This window comes from Homo sapiens, chromosome 9 (genome assembly GCF_000001405.40).
Source record: "Homo sapiens chromosome 9, GRCh38.p14 Primary Assembly".
In the NCBI taxonomy this organism is placed as follows: Eukaryota; Metazoa; Chordata; class Mammalia; order Primates; family Hominidae; genus Homo; species Homo sapiens.
Window position 1 is genome coordinate 33,720,992 of NC_000009.12, and position 13,541 is coordinate 33,734,532.

Below are 13,541 nucleotides of genomic sequence, written 5' to 3' on the forward strand. Positions count from 1 at the left end.
GCACCTGTCAGACTTTGGTCTGCATAATTATATGCATAATTTGCATATAATTTGGTATGCAAGATTGCAATGCGATTAAGCTATCTTGCAGTATCTTAAAGAAACTCTGGTAAAGGGTACCCTAGATACTAGTAAAATGAATTAGCTGTGCACATATGTGGAGGAGATTGTAACTGGGGTGGAAGTAAGACTTCACTGTATACCTTTCTGTGTGAATTGATTTTTGAGCCAATGTAATGCCTATTCTAAAACAAAATATAGCACTTCATATAAAGGGCAAAATTAAAACATAATGGAAAAACTACCAAAACCCAATGAGGAAGTCATTGTTCCAATGCCCAAGTTGGGGTGGAGTGAAGCAGAGAACATTCTCCACCACTTTGCAGGTGTGGAGGAATATGGCTGGACGGAATTCGCAGAAGAGCACAGCTCCCGTGGACTCTGTCCTTCCAGAGCCTCTCAACCCTTGTCAGCCTGGGAAGGGGGCCTGAACCAGTGAACCAGAGCCTCTCAAATGTCAGCCTGAGTAATTTTTTGCCTCTAAGTATTCTTTTGTGGCTTCTTCTGAGAAGGTTCACAAATTTTCCTTTTCTTTACAGACATCTCACAAATCCTTAAGGAGGAGGCTGTGTCCCTAGAGTCCTGTAGTCGAGACATTTGAGAATTTGGGACCCAGTTGGAAGTGGTTGCGTATTTCCATTGTGTGGGAATATGTAAAAGGCCCAAGCCTCACCAAGAAGGGAAGACCAGGCTGCTCTCATCTCAAGGGCCAGTTGCTTCACACACCGGAGTGGGCCTAATGTTCAAGGAGCTTCTTTCTCCATTTCTCCCCACAGTGCTTAACGTCTCAGGCCACGGGCTGCCAGCACTCACCTGCCGAGGCCGCCCTGCGGCCTCCCTGTTCTGAGGCCCCTGCCTCTCCCTGATGAAACTTCCTCCGTGCTAACTTGGCAAGAAAAGGCAAACGCTGCTGTGCTTCCCTTTGCCCTTGAAAAGAATGAGGTTTAGGGGAGGCTCTGCACAGTCCTGTGCTGTCCGGGATAGCTGAGCAGAAGCTGTTGAAGCCGGCCTGCTGGACTGAGCTTGGTCCAGCAGCCTATCCACGTGAGAGCCCTGGCTATCTGGAGGCACAGGGAGCTGCTGGGCCTGCAGCGTCCCACCTGGAGGGAAAGAACGCACCGCCAAGGAGGCGTGGGCCCTGCAGCCCGTGCTGGGCCGCGAATCTGGTAGCCACGCTTCTCCGGCGGAACGCGGCGCCCCCTGGCGGCAGAACGCTTGTGGCCGCCGTTACACTCGTGTGGAAACAGCGCCATCTGCCGAATGCTCCATCTCATTGCTGATTGGCCCACACAGACTTTGTAAGGATTTTTCCTTCTGCTTGCTTAAATCAGGCCATATTGAGCCTATTCAAAGTGTACTTCTGAAATGAAAAAAGAAAGTGACTGTACAAGATGTTTTGCTCACTGGAAAAACGAGGATGAATGGAAAATGGGTAGCGATTATCTGAATAATATGTGCTTCCTGTCTGTAGTGAGGTGTGAACATGGTGGGGCCGCACATTGCAGAGGAAAACGCATGCATTTTGGAGTCAGGCAACTGCGATCAAATTCTTACTAGCTTTGTGAGCTAGGAAAGTTACTTAGCATTTCCAAGCCTCATTTGTCCTTATCTGTAAAGTAGAAGTACATTTACCTTGCAGCATTGTAGCAAAAGTTAAATAAAACAATGTGCATAAAATGAAAATTAAATGTGTATGAAGTAAGATAATATATATAATAGGTAGACTTTAAAGTATAACATAAAAATATCACATAGCCATTTTTTTCTAATTGTTAGAATTGTGAAATATTCCTGAAATGGATTTATCAAATGAGAAGACAGAATCTCTCTGAGGTATTTTTAAATTTTCTCTAGAATGGTTGATTCTGACCTTTCTGTAAAAGACGATCTATTTCTGGGCACAGATCCTAGAAACAGAATTCTGCCAAAGTGAGACTCCACTAACATTTATTGAATGTCTGCCGCATGCTACACACTTTCAAAGATGCTCTTTCATTATCGCCAGTAAAATCTGAAGCTTCAGGATCTATTCCTCTTCCCAGCAGAAAGTTTTGCCAGGAATATCAGAACCTCTTTTTTACAGCCTCTCAAGTACTTTCAAGATTATTCAGAAAAGCCCAAAACTTTGAACAACCCAAATGCCAATTAACAGGAGAATCAACGATACTACATCCATACAATGAAATATTACTGGGCAATGAAAAAGACAAACAACCAGATAAACATCATAGGAGGGACTCTCAAATCTGAGGCAAAAATAGTCAGGCCAAAAAATATACTGTATTTGCATGAAGTTCTAGAATATGAAAATCTAATTGATGGTGGTAGAAATCAGAATCGTTGTCCGCACAGGATAGGCGTGGGGATTGACTGCAGAGGGGCACTAGGGAACTTGTGGGGTGATGGACATGTCCTGAATGTTGATCTGGGTGCTGATTGCACAGTTATGTACAGGCAGTGGTGTGCTGAAGCCCGCTGGCACCATCAAGAGAGTGGACTGTTAATTTTTCAGGATGTCTGCAAGCCAGTCAACATCACATTGATAGCTTGGAATCCACCACGGTGGAAATATTTATACTCCAGAAATTGGCAAACACTACAAAGCAGGGCTTTTTTATCCCACCAGAGAGCCAGTTGTAAAACATGTATGAACACACCACTGTATACATTTGCCAAAGCTCATTGAATTATATATTTCAGATCTATGCATTATATTGTATGGAAATTATATTTCAAAAATGGGGGTGAATAAAAGCTCTCTGCTATCAGAGTGTGCAGAGCACAGCTGGAGGCCCATGCTGAGCAGCTGGGGAGAAAGGTTGGAATCAGTCATTTCTGGGATGGAAAAGCAAAATTTAAGAAGTCTTTCTCAGTCATAATGGATCTAAAGCAAGAAAGCAGATCAAAATACATAAGCCTCAGAATTGAGGCACAATACTGGGTCAGCATTTTGATAATGGCTGCATAGATTACAGATCATCAGCCTCACCTTAGCAAGGAGGAACTGGAGGCCCATATCAGAATCCAATGTTCATCTTCTATAATTTTATTAATTTTATTCTTTAAATCATCAGACAGGCCAGGCACAGTGGCTCACACACTTTGGAGGCTGAGACAGGTGGATCACTTGAGCCCGGAAGTTTGAGACCAGCTTAGGCAACATGGTGAAACCCTATCTCTACAAAATACAAAAAATTAGCCAGGCGTGGTGGCACATGACTGTAGTCCCAGTTATTCAGGAGGCAGAGGTGGGAGAATCACCTGAGCCCAGGAGCTCGAGGCTGCAGGGAGCCATGATCGTGCCACTGCACTCCAGCTTGGATAACAGAATGAGACCCTATCAAAAAAAAAATATATATATATATATATATATATACACACACAAAAATTTATTTTTTTGGTGTACAGTTCTATAATTTTAACATATGTATAGATTCACATAAGCACTGCCACAATCAGGATTCAAAATAGTGCCATCACACCCCCAAAAACTCCCTCATGTTTTCCCTTTATAATCACAGCCTCTCCCACTCGTAACTCCTGACAACCACAGGTCTATCCTTCATCAGTATTTTATCTTCTCAAAAATGAGAAATACAGTACGTAAACTTCTGAGACTACTTCCTTCCCCCACCCTCCAGCATCATGCCTTGGAAAGTGCTCAGTTGCTGCATGTGTAAATAGTTCATTCCTTTCTACTGCTGAGTAGTATTTCATTGTATGGATATACCACAACTTCTTTATGCATTTACCTGTTCATTCACCTGTTGAAGGACATTTGCTTGGAGCAATTATGAATAAAACATCAAATAATCATAGAATTATCAATAGAACATTTATACACAGGTTTTTATGTGAGCATTAAGTTTTCATTTCTCTAGGAAGTGGGGTTTCTGGGTTATAAGACAAATACATGTTAACTTTGTAAGAAACTGCCAAACTTTTCCAGACTGGCTATACCATTTTTTATTCCCACTCACAATGTATAAGAATGGAAATAGAGCTTTGGGAAGCCGAGGCAGGCAGATCACAAGATCAGGAGATTGAGACCATCCTGGCTAACATGATGAAACCCCGTCTCTACTAAAAACACGAAAAATTAGCCAGGCACAGTGGCGGGTGTCTATAGTCCCAACTACTCAGGAGGCTGAGGCAGGAGAATGGCATGAACCTAGGAGGTGGAGCTTGCAGTGAGCCGAGATCACACCACTGCACTCCAGCCTGGGGGACAGAGCAAGACTCAGTCTCAAAAAGAAAAAAAAAAAAAAAGAATTGCAATAGAGAGAAGAATCAAATAGATGCAATAAAAAATGATATAGGGGATATCACCACTGATCCCACAGAAACACAAACTACCATCAGAGAATACTATAAACATTTCTATGCAAATAAACTCAGAAATCTAGAAGAAATGGATAAATTCCTGGACACATACACCCTCCCAAGTCTAAACCAGGAAGAAGTCAAATCCCTGAATAAACCAATAACAAGTTCTGAAATTGAGGCAGTAATTAATAGTCTACCAACCAAAAAAAGGCCAGGACCACACAGATTCACAGCTAAATTCTACCAGAGGTACAAAGAGGAGCTGGTACCATTCTTTCTGAAACTCTTCCAAACAACAGAAAAAGAGAGAATCCTCCCTAACTCATTGTATGAGGCCAGCATCATCCCAATGCCAAAACCTGGCAGAGACACAACAAAAAAAGAAAATTTCAGGCCAACATCCCTGATGAACATCCATGAGAAAATCCTCAGTAAAATACTGGCAAACTGAAACCAGCAGCATCAAAAACCTTATCACCATGATCAAGTCAGCTTCATCCCTGGGATGCAAGGCTGGTTCAACATATGCAAATCAATAAAGGTAATCCATCACATAAACAGAACCAATGACAAAACCACATGATTATCTCAATAGATGCAGAAAAGGCCTTCGACAAAATTCAACACCCTTCATGCTAAAAACTCTCAATAAACTAGGTTATCGATGGAACGTATCTCAAAATAATAAGAGCTATTTATGACAAACCCACAGCCAATATTATACTGAATGGGCAAAAACTGGAAGCATTCCCTTGAAAACCAGCACAAGACACGGATGCCCTCTCTCACCACTCCTATTCAACATAGTGTTGGAAGTTCTGGCCAGGGAAATCATGCAGGAGAAAGAAATAAAGGGTATTCAAATAAGAAGAGAGGAAATAAAATCATCTGTATTTGCAGATGACATGATTTTGATTTTATATTTAGAAAACCCCTTCATCTCAGCCCAAAATCTCCTTAAACTGATAAGCAACTTCAGCAAAGTATCAGGATACAAAATCAATGTGCAAAAATCACAAGCATTCCTATACACCAATAACAGACAAACAGAGAGCCAAATCATGAGTGAACTCCCATTCACAATTACTACAAATAAAATAAAATACCTAGGAATACAACTTACAAGGGATGTGAAGGACCTCTTCAAGGAGAACTACAAACCACTGTTCAAGGAAATAAGAGAGGACACAAGCAAATGGAAAAACATTCCATGCTCATGGGTAGGAAGAATCAGTATTGTCAAAGTGGCCATACTGCCCAAAGTAATTTATAGATTCAATCTATCTCCATCAAGCTACCACTGACTTTCTTCACAGAATTGGAAAAAACTACTTTAAACTTCATATGGAACCAAAAGACAGCCTGTATAGCCAAGACAATCCTGGGCAAGAAGAACAAAGCTGAAGGCATCATGCTACTTGACTTCAAACTATAATGCAAGGCTACAGTAACCAAAACAGCATGGTACTGGTACCAAAACAGATATACAGACCAATGGAACAGAACTAAGGCCTCAGAAATAACACCACACATCTGCAACCATCTGATCTTTGACAAACCTGACACAAACAAGCAATGGGGAAAAGATTCCTTATTTAATAAATGATGTTGGGAAAACTGGGTAGCCATATGCAGAAAACTGAAACAGGACCCCTTCCTTATACAAAAAATAACTCAAGATGGATCAAAGACTTAAACATAAGACCTACAACCATAAAAATCCTAGAAGAAAACCTGGGCAATACCATTCAGGACATAGGCATGGGCAAAGACTTCATGATTAAAACTAAAACACCAAAAGCAATGGCAACAAAAGCCAAAATTGACAAATGGGATCTAATTAAACTAAAGAGCTTCTGCACAGCAAGAGAAACTACCATCAGAGTGAACAGGCAACCTATAGAACGGGAGAAAATTTTTGTAATCTATCCATCTGACAAAGGAGTAATATCCAGAATCTACAAAGAACTTAAACAAATTTACAAGAAAAAAAAACCTCATCAAAAAGTGGCCAAAGGATATGAACAGACACTTCTCAAAAGAAGACATATATGCAGCCAACAGACATATGAAAAAATGCTCATCATCACTGGTCATTAGAGAGATGCAAATCAAAACCACAATGAGATACCATCTCACGCCAGTTAGAATGGTAATCATTAAAAAGTCAGGAAACAACAAATGCTGGAGAAGATGTGGAGAAATAGGAACACTTTTACACTGTTGGTGGGACTGTAAATTAGTTCAACCATTGTGGAAGGCAGTGTGGCGATTCCTCAAGAATCTAGAACTAGAATTACCATTTGACCCAGCAATCCCACTTCTGGGTATATACCCAAAGGATTAAACATCATTCTACTATAAAGACACATGTACACGTATGTTTATTGTGGCACTATTCACAAGAGCAAAGAGTTGGAACCAACTCAAATGTCCATCAATAATAGACTGAATAAAGAAAATGTGGCACATATACACCATGGAATACTATGCAGCCATAAAAAAGGATAAGTTCATGTCCTTTGCAGGGACATGGATGAAGCTGGAAACCATCATTCTCAGCAAACTATCACAAGGACAGAAAACCAAACACCGCATGTTCTCACTCATAAGTGGGAGTTGAACAATGAGAACACATGGACATAGGAAGGGGTACATCACACACCAGAGCCTGTCGGGGGGTAGGGGGCTAGGGGAGGGATAACATTAGGATAAATACCTAATGTAGGTGATGGGTTGATGGGTGCAGTAAACCACCATGGCACATGTATCCCTATGTAACAAAACTGCACGTTCTGCACTTGTACCCCAGAACTTAAAGTATAATAATAATAAAAAAAAAATGTAATTGCTCTCAACAGTTCTTGGTATTACCAAAGGTTTTCCTTTTTTCAGCAATTCTAATAGGTGTATTTGGTTTGTTTACAAGTCTCTAATGCTTAATGATATTGAACATCTTTTTGTGTTTTATTTGCCATTTATATATTCTGCAAAGTCTTGTGACATATGTGACTTGCAAAGTTTTTCTCCTGGGCTATACTGTTTTCATTCTTTTAATAGCATCTTAAGTCTTTTAATTTCAATAAAGACCTATTTATCAACTTTTTCGGATCGTGCTTATAGTACCGTGTCTAAGAACTCTTTTCCTAATCCCAGGAAGAGATTTTCTACTATGTTCTTTTCTGAACTTTTTAGAGCTTCACTTTTACATCTCATCAATATTGAGTTCATTTGTATACAAGCTGTAAGGTTTCAGTTTTCTTGTTTGTCTGTTTTGTTTATGTGAATGTTCAGTTGTTCTAACATCATTTGTTGAAAATATGATCCTTTACTGAATTACCCTTGCACCCTTGTCAAAAATCACATGGCCATATTTAAGCAGTTATCTTTCTGGACTCGATTCTGTTCCATTGAGCTCTGTGTTCCCAGGCAATACCATACTGTCCTGATTACTGTAACTTTGTAGTATGTTTTAAAACTGGGTAGCATGTTTCCTACACCATTATTCTTATTTTTCAAAGTTGTTTTAGCTATTCAAGTCCTTGGACTTTCCATGTAAACATTAGAATCAGCTTGTCTATAGCAACAATATGTCCTGGTGAGATTTTGACTGGAATTGTTTTAAATCTCTATATCAGTTTTGGCAGAATTGGCAACTTTTTAAAGTTAAGTCTTCCAATCTTCAAATATGGTGTTTCTTGTTATTTGTTTATATCTTCTTTGAGTATTTTCACTGGTATTTTGTAGCTTTCAGTAAGATGTTTATCTATTTCATTTTTTGGTATTCTATGTGGTACTGGTTTTCAATTTTCCTATCCAATTCCACATTTCTGGTTGTGATGGTTAATTTTTTTTTTTTTTTTTTGAGACGGAGTCTCACTCTGTTACCCAGGCTGGAGTGCAGTGGCACGATCTCAGCTCACTGCAAGCTCCGCCTCCCGGGTTCACACCATTCTCCTGCCTCAGCCTCCTGAGTAGCTGGGACTACAGGCGCCCGCCACTACTCCCAGCTAATTTTTTTGTATTTTTAGTAGAGATGGGGTTTCCCCATGTTTGCCAGGATGGTCTCAATCTCCTGACCTTGTGATCCACCCGCCTCGGCCTCCCAAAGTGCTGGGATTATAGGCGTGAGCCACCACGCCCAGCCTTGAGGTTAATTTTATGTGTCAACTTGGCCATGCCATGGTAGACAGTTTGGGCTCAAACACCAGTCTAGATGATGCTGTGAAGAAATGTTTTAGATGTGATTAACACTTAAATCAATCAACTTTGAGTAAAGCAGATGACCCCCCATAATGTAAGTGGACCTCACCCAATCAGTTGTAGGCCTTGAGAAGAGAGACTGAGGTTCCTTGGAAAAGAGGGAGTTCTACCAGCAGACGGCCTCCAGGCATGAGCTGCAACATCAGCTCTTCCTTGGGTCTCCACCATGACAGCCTGCTCTGTAGAATTCAAATTTGCCAGCCCCTACAATCACACAAGCAAATTCATTAAAACTAACCAATCTCTCTCTGCCTCGCTCTTTTTAAACACACACACACACGTGTGTGTGTACCTCTCACATATATACGTGTGTGTGTGTGTATCCTATTGGTTCTGTTTTCCTAGAGAACCCTAATATGCTGATGTATAAAAATACAATTGATTTGTTTGTGTGTGTGTGTTAACCTTATATCCTGCAAACTTGTTAAACTCACTTATTAGTCCTAAGAGGTCTTTGCAAACTCATTGGGTCTTTGACATAAACAATCATGTACACTATGAACAAGAACTGTCCTCTCCAGGGTGGGGTGGGCACCAGGTTAAGAGTTAGGCATCTCCTTGAGATGTCCTTATTTGCTTAGGTCCTGCATGAAAGCACATAGTGCCCTAGCTCTTTTGAAAAGCAGGAAAATCCTGAAAGAAAGCAACACAGAGCTTTCTCCATTGTGAGGTAGTGAGGAGGGGATTAGGACACTAGGTGAGAAAGGACAGGCCTAGACAATGAAGCAAGGGGCGAGTGGGTGGATGGGTAAAACCACCTGCTCCTCAAAACAGCCAGGCTCTGAGATGAAGCAGGAATCTGCACTTAAACCGAGGCTGGATCCATCCTAGGGATTCAAGTGAGTCTGGCATTTTGACAGGAATCCCAGTGGAAGTCTTTTTGTGGAGTGAAGGGCGGGGGTGAGTTGCAAAATTTTCTGGACCAGAACTTATTGTAGGAAAAGAAGAATTGAAGCTGGGTATGGGCTCCTGCTTATGGTCCCAGCTACTCAGGAGGCTGAAGCAGGGGGATTGCTTGAGCCCAGGAGGCTGTGGTGTGCTATGATCACACCTGTGAATAGCTGCTACGCTCCAGCGTGGGTGAGAGAGCAAGACCCCATGTCTAAGAAAAGAAAGGAAAGAATTCAGGCACTGTGAGGTAACCTAGGAACAAAGCTTCAAAACATTCTGAGTACAACAGAAAAAAAGAAGTTTTACTTAAAGTCCATAAAATCCTGGGACATTAGCAACCTTTTTTGGAAACCCCTCTCTTAAACTGTAACTCTAGGGAGACAGAGGTTCCCATAGACCAACAGAGCACATGGCCCCAGTGCCCAGCAGAGCAACGTGGAGCTGCAGAGTCCTGTGGGGGCTAATTTGTACACAAGCACATGTAACACCCCCACAGGAGCCCAGACTTTTCTTCTGTCTTGTTGCAGACTTTCAAAGAGCTAGAGACCCTGTCAAATCATGGGGGTGCAAAAACCCATGCAATTGAGGGGTTTTAACTCATGGTATGCTGTTTCTGCAGGCCTGTGTTGTCAAGCGAAAACAGAAAAGAGAAGGGAATTCCACCTTTGCCCACTGAGAACACATCTATGCTGAGAACACATCTACCCAACTCCTCTGTCACAACCCCTGTGAGAAGGTTCTGCCATCTCCCAGCCCTGAAGATTGTGAGGTCATCTGACCACTTATTACATTGCTAAACATGGCAGGATGTCACCTGACTCGACACTAAGCTGCCCATCAATCATCACATCCCCTTTCTCCCACTTACTTTTCTATCACCCCGTAGATTCCCAACAGCTGTCCTTAAGTCCTCCAGGCTACAGAAACCACTCTTGAAACAATATGTCAGCATACCATTAGTGCCCTTTAACTCATACCCTCACTTCCCAGCCCCTCCTCTGTGAACGAAGTCTCTCCTTACCTCTTCCTCCAGCACTAATCAATCTAATGTTCCTTCACTCTTTTCTCCCCTCCCAGCTTCCCTCCAACCTGCACCCAATCCCCCCAAATCCTTTCTCCTCTTTCTTTGCAATTCTCCACACCAAGACTGAACACTTGTCAGAAATGGTGCTCCCCCTGGGCCCCTCCACACCTCCTGAAGCCCAATCCCTGTCACTTCTTACCACCCCCAGCTCCCTGATGGCCCTGGGCCTCCCTCCCGACAGCTGAGGCCCTTCCTGGATCTCTACACGTCACCAAGCTAAGCCAGTGTTCCAAAATAGTCTCCTGAACAATGATGACAACTGCACAGTTATTTTGGAAGGTAAGTGTGGCCAGAGTCCCAGAACAATGCAGGAAAGACAATGGGATGGTGGGCAGCAGGTAGCCTGGCCAGCTCTGTTTGTGCAGATGAATTCAGGAGCCTGGCATTTCCTTGAAGGATGACCAGAGAATGGATGAGCTCTCAGGATCACACTGAGACCAGGTCCCTAATGCTCCTAATCCCTTAGGACACAAGGACCTGAAAGACATAGAAACTGCTTCTCTGAAAATTGGCTTGATTATTCTCCCAAAGTTGACCAGGATCCAGAGCTTAGATTGCAGGAGGTCAGGGCATATGCTGAGGCCTAGCTGTCTTCAAGCTGCAGTTTCCAAGATAGCCCAGAATAGAGTCCAATCAATATACGGCAATATATTTCTTCTTTGTTTTCTGTAAGTTTTATAAAAACACACATATAGAAATGTACATAAGTTTACAGCTCAGTGGATTTTCACAAAGTGAACACACCCTCAAAACCAGCACCCAGATAAAGAGAATACAACAAAAACAGCAGAGGGCCTCCTCACCCCTACTTCCAGCCAATACCCCATCCCCTACCCCAGGATAAATGCAATCCCAGCTTCTAACATTGTGCATTGGTTTTGCCTGTTCTTTGAACTTTCTGTAGCAGTTATAGAGTATGTACACTTCTGTGATTGGCTCATTTCAGCCAACATAATGTCTGTGAGATTCATCCTTCTTGGATATAGTTCCAGTTAATTCATTATCATTATTATATTGCATTCAATAAATATTACTACAATTCATTCATCCATTCTATTCTCCGGTATTTGGGTAGTTTGCAGTTTGAGGGCATAAGTAGTAGAAGTATTGTGAATATTCTAAGACATGTTTTCGTTAAACATATATGCAGCTCTGTTGGGTACAGTATAGGCCTTGGAGTGGAATTACAGTTCTCAGAAACAAAAGAAAATAAATTCAAGTTTGATATAGACCTGATTGTTGCAAGACATAGATTCCCTGATTGTAGTGAACCTGAGTTGGCCATGAGCAGTGGAAGGAGTGTGCTTGTTAAAAGGACAAATATGATGCTGGGAGACATGTACAAATCTCAAGAGATTATTCAGGGAAGCACCAGATTTATTTTAAATGATGGGAAGAGGTGTCAAATAAAGGTTATAAAAACATTCCAGTAAATAAGGCCAATGGTGGGTTGATAATATCTTCAAAGAACATGTTTAGGATCATACGGTTCTTCTTCATTCTTCTCTGCAGAACTTCCTGGCAGTGATGGCAGTGGAACATTGGAAACAGAGATGAACAGGAGGTGGGAAGAGGAGGCTAAGTACATGTAGGCCTAAAAGTCTCTGCCTTGGGAGATTTTTAACAGTCCTGGATGGAGGTAAGGAGGCAGGCGTGATTCTAAGATCTCAAGGAAAGGAGATTCTATGTCACTCTTCTCTTCCCTTGGCCCTCAGACTGTTTACGAACAAAATAATTTCATCAATTATTTCATTATTTCATTATAGCAGATCCCCTCACTGAGACTTCCAAAGATTTTTATCAACAATTTTATGTCACTCCCACTAACTCTTTGAAGGTAAATGGCAGAATTAATTTTCCCGTTTAAAAAACAGAAACACAAAGACCCAGTGGAGTCTGCATTTTCTAGTTTTAGTCAGCCATTCTGGAAGCTGCGTCCTGGTAACCGCAGTGTCCCAGCTGTGAACTCCGGGCAAGTGTACAGCATCATCTTCCATTCACCATGTGGTTACTGCACTTCTCATACAAACTACCTGCGTTACTCAGTTATCCAGTATCAAGGACTATGCCACACTCCTTAGAGCAGATGCAGGGCACTTAGAGATTAATAAAACAGGCCGAGCACAGCCTGTAACCCCAGCACTTTGGGAGCCTGAGATGGAAGAACTGCTTGAGCCCAGGAGTTCAAGACCAGCCTCGGCAACATAGTGAGACCCCCATCTCTACTAAAAATAAAAAATTAGCCTTGCATGGTGGCACCTTCCTGTGGTCCCAGCTACTTGGGAGGCTGAGATGGGAGGATCCCTTGAGCTCAGGTGGTTGAGGCTGCAGTGAGTTGTGACTGTGCCACTGCACACCAGCCTGGGCAACAGAGCAAGACTCTGTCTCAAAAAAATTAATTAATTAAATAAAAATAAAAATAAAACCCTTTTAGAGTTCAAGTCTTAATTGCCATATGGCTTTGAGCAACTTATTTTATCTCACTGTGCCTCCATTTCCTAGACCTGGAAACGAAAATAAGAGAGAATGAAATTTAAACAGCTTCTCAGAAGAGTATGTAAGTTAAGCCACATAAAACATATAAATAAATATCTGTCACTTAGTAGCCACTCAGCACATGGTAATTACAAAGCATGGTGCCATAAGAAGTTGCTGGGGAGGCAGACATGTAAATGAATGCAGAAAATATATGAGGAATACTAAAATACAAATTAAAGTGTCCTGTGGCTTTTTCATCCACATAGATGAGTGTCAAAGCTACTATCTCTCTGGGAGGATCATGGCAGACAGGAGGCAGGTCTAGATTGCAGCTCCCACTCAGATGGACAGAGCAGCATGTGGAGTATTGCATCATGAACTTTTGCTCCAGAATGACTGCAGGAAGAAATCAGGAAAGCCAAGAGAACCCACAGACCCT

The 13,541-nt window shown here is 41.9% G+C and overlaps 1 long non-coding RNA gene across 15 annotated transcripts in view, besides 2 other annotated features; it reads right to left on the reverse strand.

The window, feature by feature from the left end:
* Nucleotides 518-1,019: an enhancer, noted in NCBI's record as "H3K4me1 hESC enhancer chr9:33721507-33722008 (GRCh37/hg19 assembly coordinates)". NCBI's record gives its function as "activates a minimal SCP1, AML or CMV promoter by ChIP-STARR-seq in naive H9 embryonic stem cells {active_cell/tissue: H9 hESC(naive)}" and the evidence as "EXISTENCE:reporter gene assay evidence [ECO:0000049][PMID:30033119]".
* Nucleotides 1,020-1,519: an enhancer, noted in NCBI's record as "H3K4me1 hESC enhancer chr9:33722009-33722508 (GRCh37/hg19 assembly coordinates)". NCBI's record gives its function as "activates a minimal SCP1, AML or CMV promoter by ChIP-STARR-seq in naive H9 embryonic stem cells {active_cell/tissue: H9 hESC(naive)}" and the evidence as "EXISTENCE:reporter gene assay evidence [ECO:0000049][PMID:30033119]".
* UBE2R2-AS1 (UBE2R2 antisense RNA 1) overlaps nucleotides 3,094-13,541 on the reverse strand; it is a 94,784-nt gene continuing 84,336 nt past the window's right edge. For 8 of the 15 annotated variants that reach the window (NR_170201.1, NR_170205.1, NR_170209.1 and 5 more), the window contains one exon: nucleotides 11,981-12,340. This is a non-coding gene — a long non-coding RNA (UBE2R2 antisense RNA 1). Of the gene's footprint in view, nucleotides 3,398-11,980; nucleotides 13,129-13,541 lie in introns of those variants that run through there. The other 7 variants (NR_170203.1, NR_170206.1, NR_170211.1 and 4 more) reach the window with 3 other exon arrangements.